Source organism: Homo sapiens, chromosome 10, assembly GCF_000001405.40.
Source record: "Homo sapiens chromosome 10, GRCh38.p14 Primary Assembly".
Classification (NCBI taxonomy): Eukaryota; Metazoa; Chordata; class Mammalia; order Primates; family Hominidae; genus Homo; species Homo sapiens.
In genome coordinates this window covers 33,092,561-33,117,043 of record NC_000010.11, presented here as the reverse complement: position 1 = coordinate 33,117,043, position 24,483 = coordinate 33,092,561, and the positions used below count along the sequence as shown (strand labels likewise).

General features: G+C 40.8%; 1 long non-coding RNA gene across 1 annotated transcript in view, besides 1 other annotated feature; it reads left to right on the top strand.

Moving 5' to 3' along the window:
• The first annotated feature begins 236 nt into the window (after window positions 1-236).
• Window positions 237-24,483, top strand: part of IATPR (ITGB1 adjacent tumor promoting lncRNA) — a 42,782-nt gene continuing 18,535 nt past the window's right edge. Inside the window, exon 1 of the long non-coding RNA NR_160030.1 lies at window positions 237-573. This is a non-coding gene — a long non-coding RNA (ITGB1 adjacent tumor promoting lncRNA). The remainder of the gene's footprint in view (window positions 574-24,483) is intronic.
• Window positions 20,412-21,077: an enhancer, noted in NCBI's record as "OCT4-NANOG hESC enhancer chr10:33384895-33385560 (GRCh37/hg19 assembly coordinates)". NCBI's record gives its function as "activates a minimal SCP1, AML or CMV promoter by ChIP-STARR-seq in naive and primed H9 embryonic stem cells {active_cell/tissue: H9 hESC(naive and primed)}" and the evidence as "EXISTENCE:reporter gene assay evidence [ECO:0000049][PMID:30033119]".

Genomic DNA, 24,483 nt, shown 5'->3' with positions numbered 1-24,483 from the left:
TTTCACTATTTGGCCTGATTTTATGTGTCTGTTTCCTATCCCTCCCTAACTCCTTCTTGGGCTGCAGAATGGGCCTCACTTGCAGGTTTGGTTATCAGTTATCAACTTCCACTGGGATAAACGACAATTAGGAGGTGGTGGGGACAGGAGTCCTGCCTGTGAAGTCCCAGTTAATCACCAAGCCATACAACCTCCCCTAAAGAGTCAAGAGCGGATGCAGGCTGTTGATGTTTTTCATTCAAAGCTCGCAATGCACCGTTCTGAAAACTCTCCAGCGTAGAATTCAGGAACCCTGAGTTTTCTATCTCTGTCTAGTTCTGGACTGAATGGGCTCAAGTCATCTAGTTAACCTCTCTGGATTTCAGTCTTCTGAAAAGTGAAGCTAAGAGATCTAGCATTCTGCAGAAAAGTACTGGAGATGACTCAGGACTGAAAATGATCATGAAGCCCCTTTGCAAATATCAAAGTGGTGATGAAGCAGTCATGAACTTTGACCAGAAGCCGTGTTTTGTGGGATTGCCACTTTAATCGCTCCTGTTCATCATTAGGACTGCAGCCAGAGTGTGGAAGGAGGTGAGTGCTTTGGTGGTCTTGCTAGGTTGCGGAGCGTGGGCTTTTGTGGATATGCAACAGTGCCCTCTATTGGCATCCGGCATATTTTAAGCCACTGGAGCTGATAAGTCCATTTTCCTCTGCCCTGTGTCTTTGTACTTCTTAGTGGAGGCCCAGAGAGCTTGTGTGTAAGGGGCTGTGACCAGACTGCTCAGCAAGGGCTTTTGCTTCGCAGAGTGCTGCGCGTACATTAGAAAGCTGCTGAGTGGAAATCTTATTCCCTGGGATTTTAAACAGCCACATTTCCTGGCGTTTGACATCAATGGGACATTTAGCAAATGGAGTGCCAGATGGAGCTCCTGGCTCTATTTTCTGTAAGACACTTGAGAGTCAGAACCCTCCCAATGTTTGCGCTTGATAGGCTTGCCCACCGTAGGGCTGGCCACGGCTCAGTGGATGCGGGGCATTCTGCGGGCTTGCAACGCGGGGAGAGCGGGGACACACAGGATAGCACGTGGCAGCTCGGCCTGCATTGCTACACACAAAAGCATTTCAAGTTCCAGCATCCTTGGTAATTCACTTTAACACTCAGTCACTCACTTCTCTTATGTTATCTGACTTCCTTACAAGCCACATGCAAGAAAACAAATAGTAATTGACTCACACTTTCACAAGCACTGTCTCTCCTGAACTTCTCAAGGCAGTAAGCAAGGCAAACCTCGGTGCCACTGTTTTGGAGATCAAGAAATGGAAGCTTAGATTGTTGAGGGACTTGCCCACAGTTCCATGGTATCACCTTATAACTTATAGAAAAAGCAATGAAATCTCAGATTTTTTCTAATATCTAAGCAGTGCTGTCTTCCCCACCCCCCACCCCCTTTTGTTTTTTGAGACGGAGTCTCACTCTGTCTCCCAGGATGGAGTATAATGGCATGGTCTCGGCTTGCTGCAACCTCCACCTCCCAGGTTCAAGGGGTTCTCCCACCTCAGCCTCCCTAGTAGCTGGGACTACAGACACAGGCCACCACACCCAGCTAATTTTTGTATTTTTAGTAGAGACATGGTTTCACTATGTTGGCCAGGCTGGTCTCAAACTCCTGACCTCGTGATCCACCCGCCTCAGCTTCCCAAAGTGCTGGGGTTACAGGCGTGAGCCACCACTCCCGGCCTCTCTTCCCCCTTTCTATGTGAACACATGTACTTTTATTAAATCATTTTGATTATTTTCTATTAATAATTCACATTTATATGAATCACAGAATTCAAGATTACTATATAGTCCCTAGAAATTGCTTTATTACTCACTATATTTATGAAGGCTCCTAGTAAATCTCCATGATGATATTTGGAGAGTCTCTGATATATTCAAAGTTGTCCTGTTTTTATACTGAAGGCAGCCGACACTGATCCAGTCAATGAAATCGTGATTCTCTAAGAATGAATATTTGGATTTTTTTTTTCTTTTCATAAGGTTGCGTGTCTTTGGTGTTCAGGCAGGTAGATGCCACATTGCTTTATTAAATTGGTGTAATGGAGCATGGATTTTTTTATATTGTCATATGCAGTGATAATCTAAAATTCTAGAGCTATGATTCATCTCTGAGGATGTTTTACTCATATTGCACAATAACCAAAAAGTATTTAGACCTCAAACAGCGGGTTAACTGGGCATGGCCCTGTCCTTGTACAGTTTGCATGCTGTTATTTTTACAGATGTTCTCCTCAGTTCCCACCTTAATTCAGGTCAGGGGAGTTAATGGGAAATGAAACTGCATCTCCTCTACTTCCCTCCTTCCTGCACGGTTGACTTGAATTATAAACCAACAGCTATGCTCTGCCGGTTGATAACTGAGTTGTTTACCACCTCAACCAGAAGATGCAACGATTAGCTGTTTTTTTCTGGCTTTAGAAAAAGGTTACCTCGTAAATAGATGAGGAGACAATCTGCATATCTGCCCCATCTTACCTTTGACTTAGATACCTACTTCCCTACTGAAACAATAAACCAGTCTCTGGCTGTTGCTGCAGAAGAATCTGCTACAGAAATATCTGTCACACTTTAAAATTGTTTCCCACACACCAAACAAGCTCAACCGCTCTTCTCTTGTTCCAAAACAAAAGCCTTATCCTGTAGGACTCTTTCAACAAAAACCAATGAAGAACACCTTTACTTTTTCAAGTAAAACTAAAAATAATGATCACAAAACAAAAACTTGCTCTTTATATTTATTCAACTTCCTCTAGCCGCCCCCTACATTAAACCAAGTGTTTGAGAAGAGTTTCAAGAAATCTTAACTTCAGAAGGAGTTTTAGGAAGTTCCTATTGCAATCTCTGATTAACGTGGAAATCCATTCTCTTGATAAATACTTCCACTAACAAAGAGGCCTCTCTTTAAAAGATTGTCCATTCCTTTTCTGGAGAGTTCTAAAAGAGGATAATCAAAAGGAAAGACCCTTCTTTCACTGGAATTTATGTCTTAGTAAGTGTTCATTTCAGATATATTCACAAGTAAAAAGAGAGTAAACTCTAAGACTCAAAAATGGGCCATTTCTATGAAATAAGGACACAACAGATCGAAGCTGAAAGATTTGATCAACCTTATCAATTGTTGAAAGACAAGTCTTATAGAAGGAAGCTCGGCCAACTCCAAAACTGACTCCTTTCCAATGCTTAGTGATCATCTGGACACACTTGTGGAATGTGACATTTTGGTCTAACACAAGCACAGAATAACATGTAGCATATACCCAAATGAAATGAATCACTAGCGAACGGATCCTTAAAGTCTACAAAAACCAACCACAGGGCTGTAATGAAAGAAAGTGATGACAGACAAGTTATAACATACAGCCAGCCAAATTCCGAACACAGTATTTTGGCTGACTAGTCTTGGACATGGGAAGAATTATGCTGTTCAATTTACAACTTATTAAAGAGGGAAAGAAGTCATCGATACAGATGGTTGGTTCTATATCAAAGAAGACTAGGAGAGGTGATATTACAGAGCTTCTATAGAGCAAACTGTCAAGCAGTACTTAACTCACTTTTCCCCATAACTAATCATTAGAAAAGAATGAATTTTCAAAAGGTTAAAAAAAAATTGCAGTGTTCTTAGTAAGCCATGGTTTTGCTCACTTATCTGCAAAAGCCTGGACATGCTGATAGAGTCAGCTTCATTCCTTAGGCAAGGCAATAATTACTTTTTCACATGGTGCATGTTCTCTGCAAGCAGTTGCTCACGACATGTGGAATGAAATGCCTTTGTTAGGGGGTGGGGAGAGTTTATCATAATGTTTTATGCTAGTAGATGAAATCTGCCCCTAAATATAACATAAAAACTACTTTTGATTTACCAGAAGGAACACATGGTACCTTAAGTACAGTCTATGAATATTTTGAACAGTAAGCCTCAAATAGGTAACAGAAGTGTCAAGCATGAGACCAAGAGTCATCTGGGCCTAAATGGACTTTGAAGTTGGTTTTATTACACCATAAATGAAGTAATGTTCACTGTTGCTTTCAGTTGCTGTAGTAGAAGAGCCAGAAGTCTTGCGTTGTGGTCCCTATTTTGCTCTTAATCATGTGTGCCTGATTTTGGATAACCTTTCAGAGGCATAAGCTGGCTTATCTATAGAAAGAAGAAAGCTGCATTAAAGTATCTCCAAGATTCATTCAAAAATGAATGAATATCATAGAAAAAAAATATTCTATGATTTTTATCTTCTTGGATGGATAACATCACCACCCAGCAGTGGAGAAGAGAAGACATCAGGAATTCTCCTAAGCCTTTGGCCTATGGAGGTCTCCTGGATAATATAGTTCAGAAGAGAAATAGGATGTTAGTCCCCTGACGCCCACATGGGTGTGAATTAATCATCCCACCACTGAGCCATTTGTGACCTTAGAAAAGACTATTAAATTCCTTTCACTTTTATCCATTTGTAAGTGGCAATAACCCGTCCAACCAACCCGCAGCCCAACCAGACCTCATTTATAAAAATTAATTAGATAACATCTTAGGTTTCCTAGTCCATGGAAGTAAATGTTCTAAAAATGTAACTATTAGGTTGGTGCAAAAGTAAATGCAGTGTTTGCCATTTAAAAGTAATGGCGAATTATCCTCAGCAAACTAACGCAGGAACAGAAAACCAAAAACCACATGTTCTCCTTTATAAGTGGGAGCTGAACAATGAGAATACATGGACACAGGGAGGGGAACAACACTTACTGGGACTTGTTGGAGGAGGGCAGAGGTGGGAGAGCATTAGGGAAAACAGCTCATGCACATGGGGCTTAATACCTAGGTGACAGGTTGACAGGTGCAGCAAACCACCCTGGCACACGTTTACCTATGTAACAAACCTGCACATCCTGCACATGTACCCCAGAACTTTAAAAATTTATATAAATAAATAAATAAAAGTAATAGCAAAAACTGAGATTACTTTTGCATGAACCTAATAATGTTTATTTTTAAAAACAATACATGTAACTAGCAACCTCTTGTGCTGTCATGTATAAGCTTTTAAAAAGAATATTTTGAGTGCACTTTGACGCATGATTTAATTACCACTTTTCTTTACAACCATGAAGCTTCTCACTTTTGTTCTGAATGTACAAGCTGTTCATCAGAATAAGTTGCCGGCTTGGGCCACTTCCTTTTCTCTACAGAAGGATTTCGCATGGCGAGCTGGAATTTCCTTTATTTAAGATGCTTGAAAAATCTGGAATGGTCTCATTGATTTATTTCTGGAGTGGGAGTGTCCAACCTAAAGTGTCTCTTCAGCATGTCCGTAATTTCTATTTCACATATGAAAAGTTAACGCCAAGCAGTTGCTCAGCACATGCTAATCAAAATTTCACAGATATAAAGCCCTGAGTTAGGAACATCCAGATGTATTTCAAAACTGGGTAAAGTGCCCCAGCACATCTCCAGGGTAGCTACGTATATGGTGGGTGGCCACTGGGCTTTAACTGGTGAGTAAAGACTAGCATGAAGGACTCTATGGAAGATTCCATTGAACTTTGCAAGACTCTAGCGAACCATACAATTTCCTTCCTTCTGTTTCAGTTGACTCATCAATCCATAAGGAGTACCCATTTATGTAGAATTTTAATATTTCAGAGTGACAAATTATGCCTCTCCTATTAACATAGCCAGGACAAGATATGAAGCCACCGCTGATTTTTTTATTCAATATTAATTCTACCAGCTATTTTTCACCTTTAAAAATCCAACCATAACACAGACCCGAAAATAGATGATTCAGGCCTCTTGTTTTTAATACATTCTGTGGGGGAGTTTTTGGTTAATTTCCCAGAGGTTCACAAAACTAAAAAAATCCTTCCCCATACTAGTTTTAGGAGGAGCCAGCCCAAAAATTTCCTCACGACCCTGAGTTAACTGAGTTATTTCTGGATGTGAAAAATAAATCTGAACATTGTAGTAGAGGGAACCCTAGGGTGATCTTCCCTTAAGACTTTGGAGTTCTCTTCAGAAGTAAGGAGGCAAAAGTAGACGGGGTCGGGGGGCCAGAGTTGAGAGGCAAGTCACAAATGAGTTAGACCTAACACTCAAAAGGAGAAATTAAAGAAAGTAAATTTCTGTTTTCGCTCTGGAATAGGGAAGAGCGAGGAGTCATTGTCTCTGAGTCTTCAAGTTTAGGAAGGACCTTGACACAGGGCGATCGGAAGGAGATGGACTGCACCTCCCTGAGGACGTGTCAGCAGGAAGGAGACACAAAATTACAATACTGGGGGCTTGCATTAGGCACCGAGAAGCGTTTCATGACAGTGAGGGCTGTTAAACACTGGAATGAGGTACCAAGGGACCTTGGGCAATCTCCATTCTTGGCAGGTTGAGAAATTAGATCCTTATCTGCTGGAATCAAAGCTATGGGGAGAGAATTGGGCAACCTCAAGAGACCCCTTTCAAGCCTAAGAATCTCTACCCCGCCACAGTCGGAGGAAAGTCGATAATTTAAAAATGAAGAAAGTTCTCCACTGACTTGCTTATACATTTCCTTTTTCTGTCAAAACGAGAAATTTTTTTTTCTTTTCTGAGAGGATGTATATCCTGAGGAAATTATTATTTTTTATTTGCTTTTGATAAAAATAGTGCCAACCACTTCTGGGTTTTTTGCAGAGCTCACAGGTGGGGGTGAAGAAAGCCTTTGGCAATGCCTGCAATAATAGCTCAATATGAGTCCTCCAAGAGGTCTTCATTAAGGGAGGCCTGAGAGGGCAGAGCCACTCAGTGCTACAGTTTGCAAAAATCCTTAGGATGTTGGCCTGTGTGGCTCCTAAAAAAAAAAAGAAAAAAAAAACCCAGCTGCAGGGGGGATTTGTTTTCATAGGGCAGCTACTTGAGGGGTTTGGTCACTGCTGCTGAACCACAACATTCTGAGTATTGGGGAAAGGATACACTTACATTCAATACGAGTGCTTCTAAGAAAATCGCACTTTTCTTATAAGCTTCCGGATAAGAATTGTGCAAGGACAGTTGTATTGCATCAAAACATGTGGTTTTCACACGCATTGCTGTGCAGATCACAGGATTTTTGCACCTGACAAGAACATCTTGGGGGGAGGACCAAGAAAGAAATTTGAACCCCTCAGCAGACTTCTCTTGATCCGCCCCTTTCACTGTTCCCATACCTTTAGACCAGCCGTGCTAGATTTTGTTAAGTAAAAATGGAGACCCTGACTGCAGAAAGCGATACAGCCATTCCAGCAAGGAAGGACAGGAATCCATTTTGTCTCTTTTAAAATACAGAGTTAATAGTAACTTCAAGATCGTTTCTGCAGCCTTTTCTGAGAGAAGCTGAAGCAAGTGCTCTTAGGGAGTGATTATTATCTGTTCTCTCGGTTGTTGTTTTGGGTACAATATGTAGTTTTCCCCTGGCAACTGGAAAATTATGTTGTGGCAGGAAGGACATCATTCTGCCTGTCTTGAAATGCTTTTCCCAAGAGATCTCAAGCTGAGGCTGTGTTGATAAAACACACATATAGAGAAAAGAAAATATCTTCCTTCCTTACTTCTTCTCTCTTTCTTATCGTTACACATCTTTGGAAGGGAATAAACTAAATATAGAAATAAAGGACAAGAAAATTGAATGAACACCTAACTTGAAATAGGCAGCTTCTGTCCATGCAGCGAGTGGGCTACATTATTGCAATTTCTATAAAACTGTTTCAGCACCAAATGGAAATTGGCCCATGTGCAGATTGGGGCAGCTTTCTGCAATTGAACCAATTGAACTTTTTCGAAATTGTACATATACGCACATCCGAAAGCTCTATACAACTGACTGTGTTGTAGCTAAGGACTGGTGAAATCCCCAAGGGAACCAGTGATACTCTTTCTAGGTCTTTCTAACTCTCAAAAGTTGTGTTTTAAACACTTTCTCACATCTTCCTACGAATGACTTCACTGTTTTATTTGTTGTGCTTACTGGTAACCAAAAATTATTTCAAGGTTCTATCCCAAACTCCCCTACATTTCTGGTGGCTTTGAAGTTACTCCAACGATTCTCTGTTCAGAAAGGTGGCTCCCACTTATCTGTGATTAGAGCATTTTGTGAACAAACGAGGCTGTAGAAATGAGTGCAGTGACGTAAATTCCTACACATGTTTTGGGCAAATAAGTTTATCTGACATAAATTGTTCTCCTTTCCTCCTCTGAGACCCTGGAACAAGCAGAGGAAAGGGTCTAGGCATTGAACTCCGGTGCACCTGTGATTAAACTTCAACTTGCCATGTCTGAGCTGTGTAACTTTAAGCAAATTGCTTACCCTTTCTGAGCGTTAGGTTCCTCATCTGTCAAATGAAGGTTCAAGTCTCATCCTTACAAGATTATTGTGAAGATTAACTGAGATGATACATATGATGCATGTGGTGTAGAACAGGTACCTGGTGCTATTGATGTTATCCTTTGGTCCATTAGTAAGAACATGTCCCAAACCCAAGCTTGTATCAAGTCCCTTAGAAGAAATTGAAAAGAAGACTCACAAGAATACAAAGGGAAGGATAGATACTGATATTAACAAAATAGGCTCGAAAAAATCCTAAAAAGTGAGTTCCCTATTTTTCTATCTACCTTCCTGGTCTCTTTCTTTACCTCCTGAATAGTTTGCATGGGTTCCCAGATGCGGACACTGGTTTAACCTCAGCAAGTTGTAACTCTCATTAAAGTGATTCAACTGTTCTGCTCTTTGCTTCCAGAATAATTAAGAATAGCAATGTCCAGATGCTCTCCTAACCAGTTCCCACATTAGCATCTTCCCCGTTCTCTGAAAAAAAAAAAAAAAAAAAAAAAAGGTGACCTTTTGACCTGATTCATTGGGAAGGCTGTTGTGAACTTCCTGGGTCAGAGTCGCCTGGGGTCAGTTACATTAATAGCCATCTAAACCTTCCTCTAAACCTTCCTGGGAATTGTAAAAACCTCCCAGATCCATGACAATAATGAGCTTTAAGCGTCCTTCTTCTCATTTCCAAAAGATTGAGGAATTTGGGCTTTACCCAGTAAGCCTGCATTGCACTTTGTCTTCTGACTCCATCAATTTATCATGCAGCATTGGATAATCCAAGAGTTTGTTAAATTCTCTATTTCTACAAAATATTTCCCATTGATTAAATTGTTCATTGAAACCAAGTCTGTCTTCAGAAAGAGTTCTACTGAGACTATATTGATCAGTCTCCAGAGTAATGAGTATATCTACTGAGCACATGCTTCATAGCTGACATGGTTCTAACAACATTCGCTAAATTCACCCTCCTAACGTTCTGTGAAGCAAGTGCTTGTGATACAGATAAGGGAAACTGAGGAATTGAAAGTCACAGAGTCACTGAATGGTGGGATGGGGAACAAACTCAGGCTGTCTGAACTCACTCTGATATCCTGCAAAGCAGTTACTAGCACAAACTCTTTCAATTGCTTATGATGGACAGTGCACTGATACTTTAGAGAAACTGAAATGAAACATGAAAAATACGGTTTTGGTTGATGTTTTTCCTAAGAAATGAGGATGAGGTTACTTCACTTTAATATTACACCTACGTTTAATTAGAATGAATGCAAAACTGATGAAAATTCTAGATTTTTCAGAAAGAAGCCTTTTTTTTCTGTTTGAGCCAAATCACTATAATGTCTATTTCCAAAAGCCAATAGTGAAAAAGTTCTCCCCAAAGTGAAGAGATCCTATAGAAATTTAAAACCATAATTAGGAACAAACCATAGCGGTCATTTCTATTTGCTGTGGCAGCTATTCAACTGCAGTATACGGATTTCATCTCCACCTAGAAAAAGTGAGTTCTAGTGTCTTACTGCTTTGAGGAAACCAGTGAGATGGGAGAGTTCCCTGACCCCCTTGTGGGACCTGCGACAGTGGGGTGGGGGGCGGCTCATTTTGCTCAGCAGAGCTTAAACCCCTTGTGGGAGGAGGAGCATGCAGGTGAGCGGGTGAAAGAGCCAGGGTGAGTGTCTTTAGGCGCCAGCAGGAACGAACCCTGTACTGGTCCACAGCAGCCTCTAGGGGTTGCCCCCGACCTCTGGAGCCCCAGAGGGCATGTGTTGCAAACAATTCTCTTTTAGTATTTGCCGTCCACGGATGGCTAAGTGTTAACCAGCTCAGTGGAGAATCACGGTGGCATACACCCTGCCCTCTTGGTACCCTGATTCTTGTCCAGCATCCAGGAAGAATCAGGTCACACGGACTTGAAGGATGGTGAATGCAGAGGTTTTACTGAGTGATGGAGGTGGCTCTTAGCGGAGGGGAGCTGGAAAGATGATGGTGCCGAAAGAAGGTGATCTTTTCCTGAAGCGCGGCTGGAGTCATGCCTTCTGAAGTTAAGCCACCTCTATCCATAGTCTCTAACACTCAGTTGCTCCTTCTCCTCTCCATGTTCAGCTGCTTGACTATCTGACAGCTGAGGTCTGGGATTTATATGGGCACAAGATGGTGGGGAAGGGACAAGGAGAACCAAAAAAGTAACATTTGGGCTGAAAAACAAGGATAACCGTTCTCATTTAGGGCCGCGGTTTCCAGGCCTGAGGGTGAGGACTTTGCCGGGGAACCACCCTCTTCTACCCAGTATTTCCCCACCTCCTGTCCATATCACTAGTATGGGAATTGTATGGAAAATTTTAAGCCTCTATTAAGTTGGCAAAGCGATTTAAAAATCAAGTCCTAAGCACTGAATTTTCCCAGGCTTTGTCTTGTTCTGGCTGACCGACTACCTGTGATCTAACAACTCTCCTTGTGAGCCACAGAAGCTCTCTATGACATTTTCAGTGAGGGTGCCTGAACCTCGGATGGATAACCAGTGCAACTAAAGATTTAAGGGCATTTCCTTTTTGTCTGTTTGTTTGTTCGTTTTGAGACAGAGTCTCACTTTGTTACCCAGGCTGGAGTGCAGTGGTGTGATCTTGGCTCACTGCAACCTCCGCCTCCCAGGTTCAAGGGATTCTCCTGCCTCACCCTCCCGAGTAGCTGGGATTACAGGCATGTGCCACTACACCTGGCTAATTTTTGTATTTTTAGGAGACACGGGATTTCACCATATTGGCCAGGCTGATCACGAAGTCCTGGCCTCCAGTGATCACCTGCCTCAGCCTTCCAAAGGGCTGAAATTATGGGTGCTTCAAGGACATTTCTGATGTGCTGAATACGCCTATGGAAGAAGGCATTCCTGGATCCTAATAAATAATGAATATTTATTTTAAATGAATTACTCATCTGCAGTGTTGAAGTTGAGCTTGAACAGTGCTAGCTATCAGTTTGTGTTCAGTAGGTTAAAAATCCCCCTCAAAATGTCCTGGTATCTTCAAGTGTGGCTATACTAGATCCATGCTTAAGGTCTGCCCTCTGTGTGCAGTCTAAGAGTGCATTGTTTTTTCTCCTCTGCTTTTAAAAGTCATGCACATGCTTTTAAAAGTACATGTAGAAAGTACGTCAAATAACAAATATTCCAGCCATAAATTCCATTTTCGATATTTAACCCATGCTGGTGAATATAAATTTAGTATTTTTCACATATATCTTGTACCATATAGTACCAGTTGTTTAACAACAATTTGATATTGTTAAATAACAGTGTATTGTGAATATTTTGTCATGTTATTAAATATTCTTCTATTTCACATTTTAATGACTGACCTATGTCCTATCACATGAACATGCCTCAATTTTATTTCACAAACCCACTATAAGTGGATGTACTTGTTATTTATTGTGTATAATAAATTAGCCCAAATTTAACAGCTTAAAGCAGCAAGCATTTATGATCTCACAGTTTCTGTGGGTCAGAAATCCAAGAACAGCTTAGCTGGGTCCTCCAGCTCAGGGTACCTCACAAGGCTGCAGTGCAGGTGCTGGCTGGGGCTGTTGTCATCTGAAGGCTCAAACCGGGAAGGATCTGCTTCTGGGTTCACTCACGTTCCATTGGCAAGCTTCAAGTCTTCACTGTCTTTTGGCTAGAGACATCAAGTCCTTGTCATGTGGGCCACCCCATAAGGCTGTTTACAACATAGGATGTGCCTTTCCTCAGATGAGGATTCCAAGAGACAGAATGTGAGAGAAGATACCCCTAATGGAAGGTGCAGTCTTTTCATATCTTCATCTTGAAAATGGCATACCATGATTTTTGCCATATTCTAGCTGGTAGACAATAGTAACTAAGGCTTGTCCACATTCAAGTGAAGAGGACCATATACCAAGGCATACATACTGGAGACAGGGATCACAGAGGACCAGCTTAAAAACAGACCACCATAGTGGGCATTGAGGTAACACATACATGCATGCACAGTTCGGACACTAATAAAAGGGAAATATTTTTCTGAGTAGCTTAGAGGAAGTGACCAGTTGAAGTTTTCAAGACCTGATGTTTCAGCCATTAAATGAAAACAGCAGAAAACTCATAATGGCATTTTTCAAGTCAGCTTGGAACCTGAGCCAGAAAAATCACCTGTCAATAGACTATTTTGTGGACATTTTCCAGTGTGGTGGTGGATTTAAAGACGTAAGTTCTGCACCACTTCACTTGTATCTTCCCCCTAAACAAAGCGTTCATCACACCAGCCAGGGGGCTCATGTCTTCATCGGGCCATCTTGGCAATGGGAGAACAGCCTGTGTAGCCTGGCATTGAGCTTTCCCATGGCCCAAATGCAGGCTTTTCCAGTCTTCTCTCTACACAGTCTGTCTGGTCCATGCCAATGATAGAGGCAGGAGGCAGAGAACTCTCCTAGGCAGACAGGGGAAGGTCCCTGGAGAACCTCCAACCTGCCAAGGTCATTGTGCACAGGGAGCTTGCCTAAACATGCCCGTGGTGAAAAATTTCATCCCTTAACACATGCACAGTAAGGGAAATAAATCAGTATGAAGTGGCTCAGACTAAGGTCCCACATGTGCACTGAAAGGACAGGGTGGCGCCTCCAGGAATTCATGCCTTATACACATAGGGAACCCAGCCCCATCACCAGATATGTAAAAGCCCTTGTAGTCAACTGTGAACGGGCTACCAAGAACCTTCTTTCAGGACCCTCTCTTTGCTGAGAGCTTTCCTTTCACTTAATAATTCTATTCCACTCATTCTCCAGTGTCCACGTGCCCAATTCTTCCTGGTCGTGAGACAAGAACCCCAACCTAACTGAGCTAAGGAGCAGAAAAACTGCACCACCAACACTAAAAACAATGTCTTAGTATTCTCTTTCTCTCCACCTATTTGTATCTTATCCATCCTCTGAGTTCATCCCAAATTAGCAAAAACCTCCATTCTACTTTATCTCTGTCACAACTCCTAAAATTGTTCCAGCAATCACTCAAGTATGTACTATGGTTAGAGGACTCCGGAACTCAGAAGACTGGAAGAGTAAGACTCCAGACAGTGAACAGAGTAACAGAAAGAGAAACAGTAATATCCACATAAACAAGAGTGGCTTATGCAGCAATGACAGCATGCCCAGTACCACCTGGGAGAGGCATTGAGCTGATAAAGCGTTTGAGAAGAGCTCATCTTAAAACAACAGGAAACGCTCAGTGAGGCTCAGGAATGAGGAAAGCAAAATATCCAAGAACGAAATATTCATGGTCAAGATGAAGCCCTAGACCTGGACTGAATCATTGATCACTAAGAGGAGCTGGCCCTGGTCACAATGGAGAAATATTGAAATATTAGATGTAAAAGAACACATATCTGAACATAACATATGTAATCAACCACATGTTTCTATGTTCTTTAATCAGATAAATGTTTGGCTCTGAGAAGAGCCAAACACTTATTTTTCTAAATTGCTAAAGTGAAAAATCTCTGTTGAATCCAAAACACTGACTCTGTTAGAAGTCATCTTCTAGGAGTCCAGGCACAGAGAAGTGAGTTACATAAATGGCCCCAGAACACCTCCATCAAGCTGTGACTCTCACTCTTCCCTGTCAGTTCCTCTGCAATGTAAATCCATCCATATGGAGGCACGACTGACTGTACATGACTGGGGAGAAGCAAACAAGGTAGCCCCTCGGTCCCTGTATTGCTTAGAAGAATAGCAACAGCTCAAGAGCTGATTAAGTGCAACTACTGCAAGCAATCATAGAAGCGTGTTGACTTCTCTTCAGTCCCTGGACGTGTAAGACCATCCAGATTTGCCTGAGGACTGCAGGATTTCTGAAGATGGCCCCCACATCTGGAAGCTCTTTTTCCTGAAGGCCTTTCAGAAACCCCCACAGCTATGGGACAGAGTTCTCCATCCTGTGTGTATTTCTTGTCTACCTTCTATTTTTATAGCACTATGTTGGGTACCATGAGAAAAGCAAAAAAGAATCAACTAGAGTCCTTGTCATAGTGCTTATCATCCCGCTGACAAAACAAAACACATTAACCTTCAAAATGAAGTGGCCCAGCCTGAGCAATGTGATGAAACCCCGTCTCTACCAAAAAAATACAAAAATTAGCTGGGTGTGGAGATGTACGCCTGTAGTCCCAGCTACTTGGGAGGCTGAGGTGGGAGAATTGCTTGAGCCTGGGAGGCAGAGGTTATAGTGAGCTGAAATCGTGCCACTGCACTCCAGCCTGGATGACAGAGTAAGACCCCACATTAAAAAAAAAAAAAATGATGTGGCATAGGCTGCAGTGTACGATTAAGTACTGAAAGAGTAGGTGATCCATCAACGGGGTGCCATGTTGTTAACCTGCACTCTAGTCTGCTGGCCACACCTCAGCGCACAATGACATGAGTCAGGATGCAGGTACACTAGGGCTAAAATCAACCCGAGGCATTTATATGTGTATAAGCAACTGAGAAAAGCAGCTAACAGAAAATGGAGGGGAGCCCAGGAATGAGGGGGAGCACCCTACCCACTTCTACCTCCCACCTATAGGATGCTAGTGCCTTGATTTCCCCTAAGTGCAGCCCTTTGTTGGGTAAGACTCTCTCATCTCTTTTCATCCCCCACCTCGTTACAGCAAAGAGTGTTATTTAAGTTCTTTTTATTTTTTTCTCAGTGTATTTCAGTTCTGCTTCTTGCCTTGTTCTAGCTTAAACTCATTAAACATAATTTAAAATATTTTACCTTGCCTCTTTATTCATTTAGTTCTTCAAAGTTTCCCTTCCCCACTTGTGTTTTATTATCACCTCTGCATTCTAATCATGTTCCCAGCTGCAAATATCATCACACAACCTTGTTTTAGCGATAGGTTTCCTTTTCTTTTATCCTCTAATTGGAACTTACCTTCAAAATCTTCCAAGATTCCTTCCTGCAGGCCCCTAGTTTTATTACTAGCCAGCGTTCCCTCGGATTCACACCCTGTCATGTTAAATCTTTCTCCCTTCAGGAAGCCAAACACTGGCTTTTCCTTTAAGCTTCTCTCTCTGTTCCATTACTCATTTCTTAGAAAGACCTGTTTTAGAACCCGAGGTTTACTGTAAAATGTACAGCTAAGTTGTGATGAAAACCAGCTTGTTTCTATAGGATGAAATAATACAGAGTTCACCTTGACTCAACCATGTAGTTAGATACCTAGGAAAGAGGGTTGAAAGCAAAAAGAACAAAGTTGCTGTTAAAAAAAGAAAGAAAGAAAGAAAAGAAACTTACATTTGATTATAATGGTGCCCTATGTTATTTTTTTCTAAATAAGAAATTAAAAATAGAAATGTGTTTGTTCCATGATTCTTTAGTGAGCAGTAGCTGGTTGGCAAGGAACAATTGGCTATTGAACTCTCCACATAAAGATAGACAAGCATGAGCATGTCAGCCCCAGACTCAAGGAAAGGCCATAAATGACTGTCTCCTGTGAGAGGCCATCTTGGGAACAATGAGGAACTTGTCCTGGTCTGGACTAGCTAAGTGCCTTCCAGTAGTAGTGACTGCCAGGATGGGCTGTAGGAGCAACAAAGAGGGAGTCAATCTTCTCAGTTATTCTGTTGGAATTTCCTTATGCTGAGAAAATGAGCTGGGAATCTATCCTGAGGAGGCAACTTTGCTGCAGTCAGAATTAAATATTCAGAAAAGCAGAGAGGGAAGGACTAGTCTATGACATGAATTCTAAGAAATTCCTGAAAATGGGGAAGGAGTGGGCCTAAGTGCTAACTGATTTTGCAATTGCACTTACCCGGAACCAGATATATTCTAACCATTTGAGATTTCAGAGTCTGAAAACTTGACACAAAATAATCATTGGGTATTTATGTATGTATGTATGTATGTATTTATATTCATTTAGAGATAGAGTCTGGCTCTGTGGCCCAGGCTAGAGTGCAGTGGCATATTCCTAGCTCACTGCAGCCTCAAACTTCTGAGCTCCGGCCTCAGCCTTCCAAGTAGCTGGGACTATAAGTGCATACTACTATGCTCGGCTGATTTTTAAATTTTTTGTAGAGATGGGAGTCTTGCTATGCTGCCCAGCCTGGTCTTGAACACCTGGGATGAAGTGATCCTCCCAGCTCAGCCTCTCAAAGCAGTGGGATTCCAGGTGCAATCCACCACTCCTAACTCGATATTCTTTAACCATTATAAACAATTTCCCTTTAATAATTGTGTGAACTCAGAAGGAAAATAGAGTGCTGAAAAGCTCATAAGTCATAGAAAGAAATTCATCGGTAGTATTAATGGAGGTGCAAAAGCCCCAAATTAGTGGGAAATAGTGTGAGCTACTGAACTGTGATGCCAACCATCATAGAAAACTTTCTGAACTAAGTGGCAGGGCTTCCATATCTCAGGGCATCACTTGGATCCTTTCTAACCACACTAACCCAGACCCTGTTTCTGTCATGGAATTAGCATGCAGTGGTGGTCTTATGAAAGCCATAGTCAGCTTGTTTAGATTCTCTTTCTTGACCATTGGAATCACAGAAAAGAAACTTACACATAGTGGCTGTTTGACAAATAAGTATGAATGACTGGATTTTTCATCAGCATCATAAACTAGCCAGTGTTTTGTTTTGTGTCCAGATGGCTGTATTTTGTTAGACTGTACTAACAGTTCTAAAGAATGCAATGATTCCACCAAAGGCTGTGATTCTGTGAAGTGAAACTCCAAGAATGCATCACTCATTCCAGCATTCAACCAGGCATCGTTTCTGTTCTTACAGATTCTCACAGGGTGTCAGGGGTTTGGCCATCTAGAAGTAGAAGACCTCTGTGCTAGGACTGCAAGAAGATCCAGTCTCAGAAGCAGAGGAGATGGACAAAGAGCTCAGCAATGTGTGATGCTCTAGGCAAGCAGTTGGCAATGAGATTCAAGGCAAAGAGGGGAGACCAGGCACAGTTGCTCATGCCTGTAATCCCAGCACTTTGGGATGCTGGGGCCAGGAGTTTGAGACCAGCCTGGGCAACATAGCAAGACACCATCTCTACAAAAAAAAATTAAAATTAGCAGGGCATGTTGGTGCACACCTGTAGTCTTGGATACTCGGGAGGCTGAGGCCAGAGGATCACTTGAGCCCAGAGTTCAAGGCTGCAGTGAGCTGTGACTGCAGCACCACACTCCAGCTTGGGGTCAGAGCAAGACCCTATCGCTTAAAAAAAAAAGGCAAAACAGGAAGTGCCCCAAGAGTGAAAAACCTCAGGGTGGAAATTTCTATGCATTACTGTCACAAAAATAAAAAGGCAAGCCATAGACTGGGAGAAAATATTTGCAAAAAGTATCAAATAAAAGACATACCTAGAAAATAGAAACAATTCTCATTATTCAATAATGAGACCAAAGACTGAATTTTTTTAAATAAGCAAAAGATTTGAACAGATACTTTACCAAAGGGGTTATACAGATGGCATTTTAGGTACATGAATACATAGTCTTTAGTCATCGGGGAAATGCAAATTAAAACCACAATGAGATACCACACCACTCCCACCCACTGGAATGGCCAAAATTAAAAAGACTGATCTATGAAGTAATAACAAAAATGTGGAGAAACTGAAATTGTCACATACTGCTAATGGGAATGTACAATGGTGAAACCACTTTGGAAAACAGTTCAACAGTTTCTTACACAGTTAAAGATACACCCACCGAATGATAAGGTCTAATGGTTAGAATCTTGAGTGGAGAAATGTAATTGTATAACCACACAAAGAATTGATTGACCAATGTTCATAGTAGCTTTATTTGTAATAGCCAAAACTAGAAATAATCCAATGTTCAGCAATAGGTCAATGGATAAACAATTGCAGAATATTCATACAGTGGCATGCTATCCAATGAGAAAAAGGAAATGGACTATGGATACACATAACCATATGAATCAATCTCAAAATAATTATATCAATGAAAAAAATCAGACAAAATAAAGAGTACATCTTGTATGATTCGTTTATATGAAATTTTAGAAAATGCAAATTTACCTACAATGATAAAAAGTATTAGGTTGGTGCAAAAGTAATTACATTTTTTTGCCTTTTTTTTTTTTTTTTTTTTTTTTTTTTTGGCAAAAACCGCAATTACTTTTGCACCAACCTAATAGATCAGTGGTTCCCTCGAGGGAGAGGTGAGGGGAAAGAGAGAGAACACAGGGGCATCAGGAAACTTGGGGAAGATGAAAATGTTCTTTATCTTGGTTGCGCTGATGCCTTCATGAGTGTATATATATATAAGGACAAAATTTATCAAATTTTATACTTTATACATGGGCAGCTTTTTGTACTTCAATTGTACACAATGTAATATTTTTTTTAAAGAAATGGAACATGTCTTCAGACTCTCCATTATTAAACCACAAAATCTAAAGTTGTTTTAATTCAAAAGTTCCAGTGTAAACTCACATGAAATATGAAATCATTATTGAGATCTGAAAAAATAGTTAAATTAATCTACTATGCCACAGAATATAGGAGCTATCTGAGTCCATTTATATTTACATGATGAATTAGATGAAAGGAGTGTTTGGATGGAGCGAGAGACAACAAATTAAAACTTGGTTCACAACAGTGAACCAGGCAAATGACCTAACCTGTAAAGACCTGGGTTAAGACTCCAGCACCACTGATTGATTGCAAGCTAAGGGAGCTTTACCAATTATCTCAACATCTATGGAGTCAAAGAGTTTTAATATAATTATAATATAATCTAAAAATGTCTACAACATAGGTGGTACTGAGGCTCAAATGAGAAAATAAATGTGAAAGTTTTTATAAAACTTTAAAGCAGCTGGGTGGCTCATGCCTATAATCCCAGCACTTTGGGAGGCTGAGGTGGTTGGATTACTTGAGTTCAGGAGTTCAAGACCAGCCTGGGCTGCATGGGCAGAGAGACCTCATTTCTACCAAAAATACTAAAAATTAGCCAGATATGGTGGTGCACACCTGTAGTCCCAGCTACTTGGGAGGCTAAGGCCAGGGGATTGCTTTAGCCAGGGAGGCAGAGGTTGCAGTGAGCCAAGATCGTGCCACTACATGCCAGCCTGGGCAACAGAGTGAGACCCCATCTCAAAATAGAAGAAGGAGAAGAAGGAGAAGGAGAAGGAGAAGAAGACAAAAACCTTTAAAACATATAAGAATGCAAACCAAAAAAATTCTAAGCCCCCCAACCAACCAAATGGATCTCCCTTTTGGCAAAAATGATTCCAAAGAAACCTGAAAAACTAATTTAGACCATGATCGGAAGTGGGGGGCCGTTGGACATGGCTCATTATATTCTCCCCCTTTTAAAGATCTGAATAGCAAGCATTTGCCATCTATTGTATCTAAGGGCTGCAACCTACGAGACTTCATCTACATAATAAAAACCTTGGTTTCTACAGCCCGTTATCTTAACCCAGACACTCTTTTCTATTGATTCCCAGTCTTTAGATAATAACTTAACTCTTTAAACCAATTGCTAATCAGAAAATCTTTAAATCTACCTATGACCTGGAAGCCCTTTTCCTCACCACCTCCCCCACAGCTCCACATTGTCTTGCCTTTCCAGACCAAACCAATATGTACCTCACATGTACTGATTGATATCTTATGTCTCCCTAAAACATATAAAACCAGGCTGTAACCCAACCACCTTGGGCACATGTTCTCAGGACCTCTTGAGGTTGTGTCACAGATCATGGTCCTTACATTTAGCTCAGAATAAATCTCTTTAAATATTTTACAAAGTTTGGCTATTTTCATCAACAAGAATTAACAACCATATTCTGATTATAATAATTACTGTATGCCTGACAGCATCCTGAGAACTTTTCCTCATGCAATCTTTCCAACATCCTTCTTGAAAAAATTCCATGACTTCTCCTCCACTGTGGACCAGCACAAAAGGGCTTCTGAGAGTTTTGGTAATTTGCTATGGGCATAAATCTAATGCCTTGTGGAGCTGTGGCTTTCTGAGACCCAGGTCTTGCATACTTCACAGGCCATAATTGTGAGCATTACATGACTGTCTTCTCCTCTGATTTATGTATGAAGGGACTCCAAATATATAAGAAGATGCTACCACACCCTGGGAGATTGGATTCCCCACTGCGCTGGCTTTCTCAAGCTCTGTGAAATGTGATGTTGGCTGGAACTTATCATGAAGAGCTTTGCTGTAAAACAGATCTGGGGTAAAGTGGGTCTTAAAAATCCTTTCTCTATACATCCATGTAGATAGAGACCATCTCCATTAACAGAAGAGGGAATGATGCCATTCTTATAAAGAAGCTGTACTGTGGGCACATTTATTCCTAAGTTGATAGTAGCTATTTTAACTATGAAAAGGATCTGCCCAGATGAAAGAGGGGCTGCCTGTGGAGCACAGCTGGATGGGGGAAGCAAGGTTTTCTGCTGGGACACCTGGCTTTGTTTATCAGGGGCTTTATTGAGACTTCTCTGTTTCATCACCCCATTCATTTCCTACCCATTCTTCTATATCTCTGCTTTTCTTTTGCAAACGTTTTTCACCTCTCCTCTTCTGCGTCTTACTGTCACAATGATCACTCACTGATAATTTAATCAAATGTGTCTAACGTCTTGAACTGACAAGTGAAATAGTCTCACAAAAATAAAATGGGGAAATGAAAATGAATAGTAGCTTAAAATGATATCTAGCCAACTTTCAATTTCCCCGTTACACTGACAGAAACAGAGAACACAGTAGCAAGAAGATACTCCAAAGAAATTACTTAAAATATCACTTTACCTCTCTCCCTAATCACCTGTTTAGCAAATGATAATACCTAATTTATTAAACTGTTACTTCATGAGTTTCAAAATGGGCAAATAATTAATATGAGATAAAGGGAGAAAATAAGCAAAAAGAGATATAAGACAATTTATATGCTACACTATGCTATAAACATACTATGTTATGTATAATTATACATATTTAATATATAATTTTCATTATATATCACAGATAATTACATTTCATATATTATATGCTAATATGTGACATATTATGGTATAGAATAATTATATTATGTATCAAATGTGTGTGTGATATGTATTTATGTACTTTTAGTCTGAAGAGTAAAATTGCATCATAAAGATTCTTACTGAATTTCCTTGATTTGGTAAAATCACGTATTCAAGTGCATATGTTCCAAAGTGCTGTTCTGTTGATATAATAGGAAAAAAAACCCTATTATCACAAAGGAATTGGGCTGTGTGTACAGTTAACTCCAAATCATTATTTTACCCTATATAGCATTATTTTTGAGATTTGACACAATTTTCCAGAGGAAAAATTTTAAATGCAAGAATTAGATCTTACCCTTTAGGACAACCTGCTTGCTGTCTCCCAGACAGTGTATCTTATTTCACATGTGCCCTGTATATTATGGAATTGCCTCCCTTGGAAAAACAACCAGAAAGCCCCAGAAGCACGTGGTAGAGGTAGTCAGGTTCATCTCCAAGTAACAAAGGAAGCTGAGACCTGGGTTAATAAAACAAGCCCAATTTAGTCTGCTCTTGTTTGGAAATTTCACCTTCAAAGGTGTTTTCTGGCTTGAGTTAGATTTAAGTTTCTGGGTATAAGTAGTGGAAGTTGTTTAGATATCCAGCATTTAGTAGACTCCTTTGTGTATTTGAGGAATTCCCTAATTAGGTCTTTGTATTAGTCTATTTTCATGAAGCTGATAAAGACAATTTACAAAAGAAAGAGAGGTTTAATCAACTTACAGTTCCACGTGGCTGAGGTAGCCTCACAATCTTGGCAGAAGGCAAGGAGGAGCAAGTCACATCTTACATGGATGGCAGCAGGCAAAGAGAGAGAGCTTGTGCAGGGGAACTTCTCTTTTTAAAAAACCATCAGATCTCATGAGACTTATTCACTATCACATGAACAGTACAGGAAAGACCCACTCCCATAATTCAGTCACCTCCCACCAGGTTCCTCCCATGACTCACGGGAATTGTGGGAGTTACAATTCAAGATGCGATTTGGGTGGGGACACAGCCAAACCATAGCAGTCTTTGTGGGAGATGAGACCTGCTCCCACTAGTGAAGCTAGAAGAAGTAGATTACCCCCTTTTTCCACCTCCCAGTCATAAAGTAGGCATTGTGGCCTGGGCTCAGCCAGTTTGGTTTTAAAACTGAAGCTGGTGATCAGAGTGGAGCAGGAGACATCAACTCTGGCAGCTGCAAAGCCCACACTGCCTGGCCTCAGGGGAAGCAGTGCTGAGGTCAGCAGCAGCCAGCTGCGGCCTGCTTAGCATGTGCTGGGCCTGGCCTTGACTGTGATTTCAGCTATCCAGCTTCTGTTGTTTTCTGCTTGTTCAGTTCCTGCATCTTTGCTCATCAGTATCATCCATTCAATTTCACTCTGGTTTAAGTCAAAGGGAGTTGGTTTCTCTTACTTAAAACCAAAAGCTCTGAAAGAATACTACAGATATATCTTTTTCACAAACCTGTGTTTTGTCCCAATGCAACATTTGTTTCCATAGTCTTATTTATTCTATGTAGAGCTAATCATAACTCAAACAGATTGTGGTCTGGGAGTAATATCTGAACTAATAAAAATACTGAATTACGCATTTTTTCTAAATGCAGTATTACTCCCTTCAAATGTATGAAATGATTGGAATGAGCTTATTCTAGTTCCTGGAGGAAAATTATGTTAAAAAAATTCATTAAAATGAGCTCTGTTTAGCAAATAAATGACTTGTTAACAAAGAGAGGCTCCTATGGTTTTAAGAGTAAGTTGAAAGTTTGGTATCTCAGGAAATTATAAATATCCAGTGGCCTATATTGTTTGTGATACTAATTGAGTAAACAGAACCTCAGACGCTGGGATTTGCCTTCAAGGAAATCAATGGGAAAGAAATCAAGATCGTCCCCATTTTCAAACTCTTCTTCTGGATTACGACTTTGGTTCCTTTGCTGAGGATGTGGAGATGTAGGAGAAGTAGGGGGATTCTTGTTTAAAATGAAGATATTCCTGGATAATTGATGTATGAGTAAAGTGTTAGGGGATTAAGTTGCTATTCATTATGAAAGTAAGTTAGAGGAAATGGGACATAAGAGAGCCATGTTTTGAAAGTAGAGTGCTGGGTAATAGCCAAGAGATAGTCCCAGCCTGGGGCCACAAAGGGACAGCGTGAAGACCATAAAGGAGAGATGGGGAAGCTGGGAGGGCAAGAAGACCTTCAAGTGGGGTGCGGAGGGGGGAACAAAAGGCTAACTATGACCTTCACTATTTTGTCCAGTTCAGTTCAGTTCTGTTGATGCCAGAATTCCTACCCATTCTGAAGCAGTGGAACTTAGTTAACAATAATTTGTTATGATGTGAAAAAGGCCCCATTCTGCATTTTAAGACAAGTTAATAAGGTGGGGTGCAATGACTCACACCTGTATTTCCCAGCACTTTGGGAAGCTAAGGTGGGAAGATCGCTTGAGCCCAGGAGTTTATGACCCGCCTGAGCAACACTGCGACACCCTATCTCTGCAAAAAATAAAAAATTAACTGGGTGTGGTGGTGCTTACTTGTCCCAGCTACTCAGGAGGCTGAAGCAGGAGGATATCCCTTGAGCCCAGGAGTTAGAGGCTTCAGTGAGCCATGACCATGCCACTGCTTTCCTGGGACACAGAGCAAGACCCTATCTCTCTTAAAAAAAAAAAAAAAAAAAAAAAAAAAGCAGTTTATAGGAAGATTGGTCTATCCCCTCAACTTTTTAAGGTAAGCTTTTTTTAATGTTCAACCTAAATATCCTTTTATTATCAATTTATTTTACCATTTAGGCCTCTAAATTGTGATTCAAATATGCTGGCATTTTGCCTCAGAAAAGAGCACATTTAGTCCCTGGGCTGGCCAAGAAATAAATAGTTGAGGTCTAGCTTGTTTCTGTTTATTGCTGCTATTGTTGCTGCTGCTACTTTACATTTTCGCCTCCTGAATCTATCCTTCCAGATCACTGATCATTTCTGAGACTCTTTCTGAAATTTGCTGCAATCTGTCAATATCTCCCCAGCCCTTTACAAATGTCTCTCATTTGTTTTTTCCCTTGACTCACCTGTTTTGTAAGAAATGAGGGAA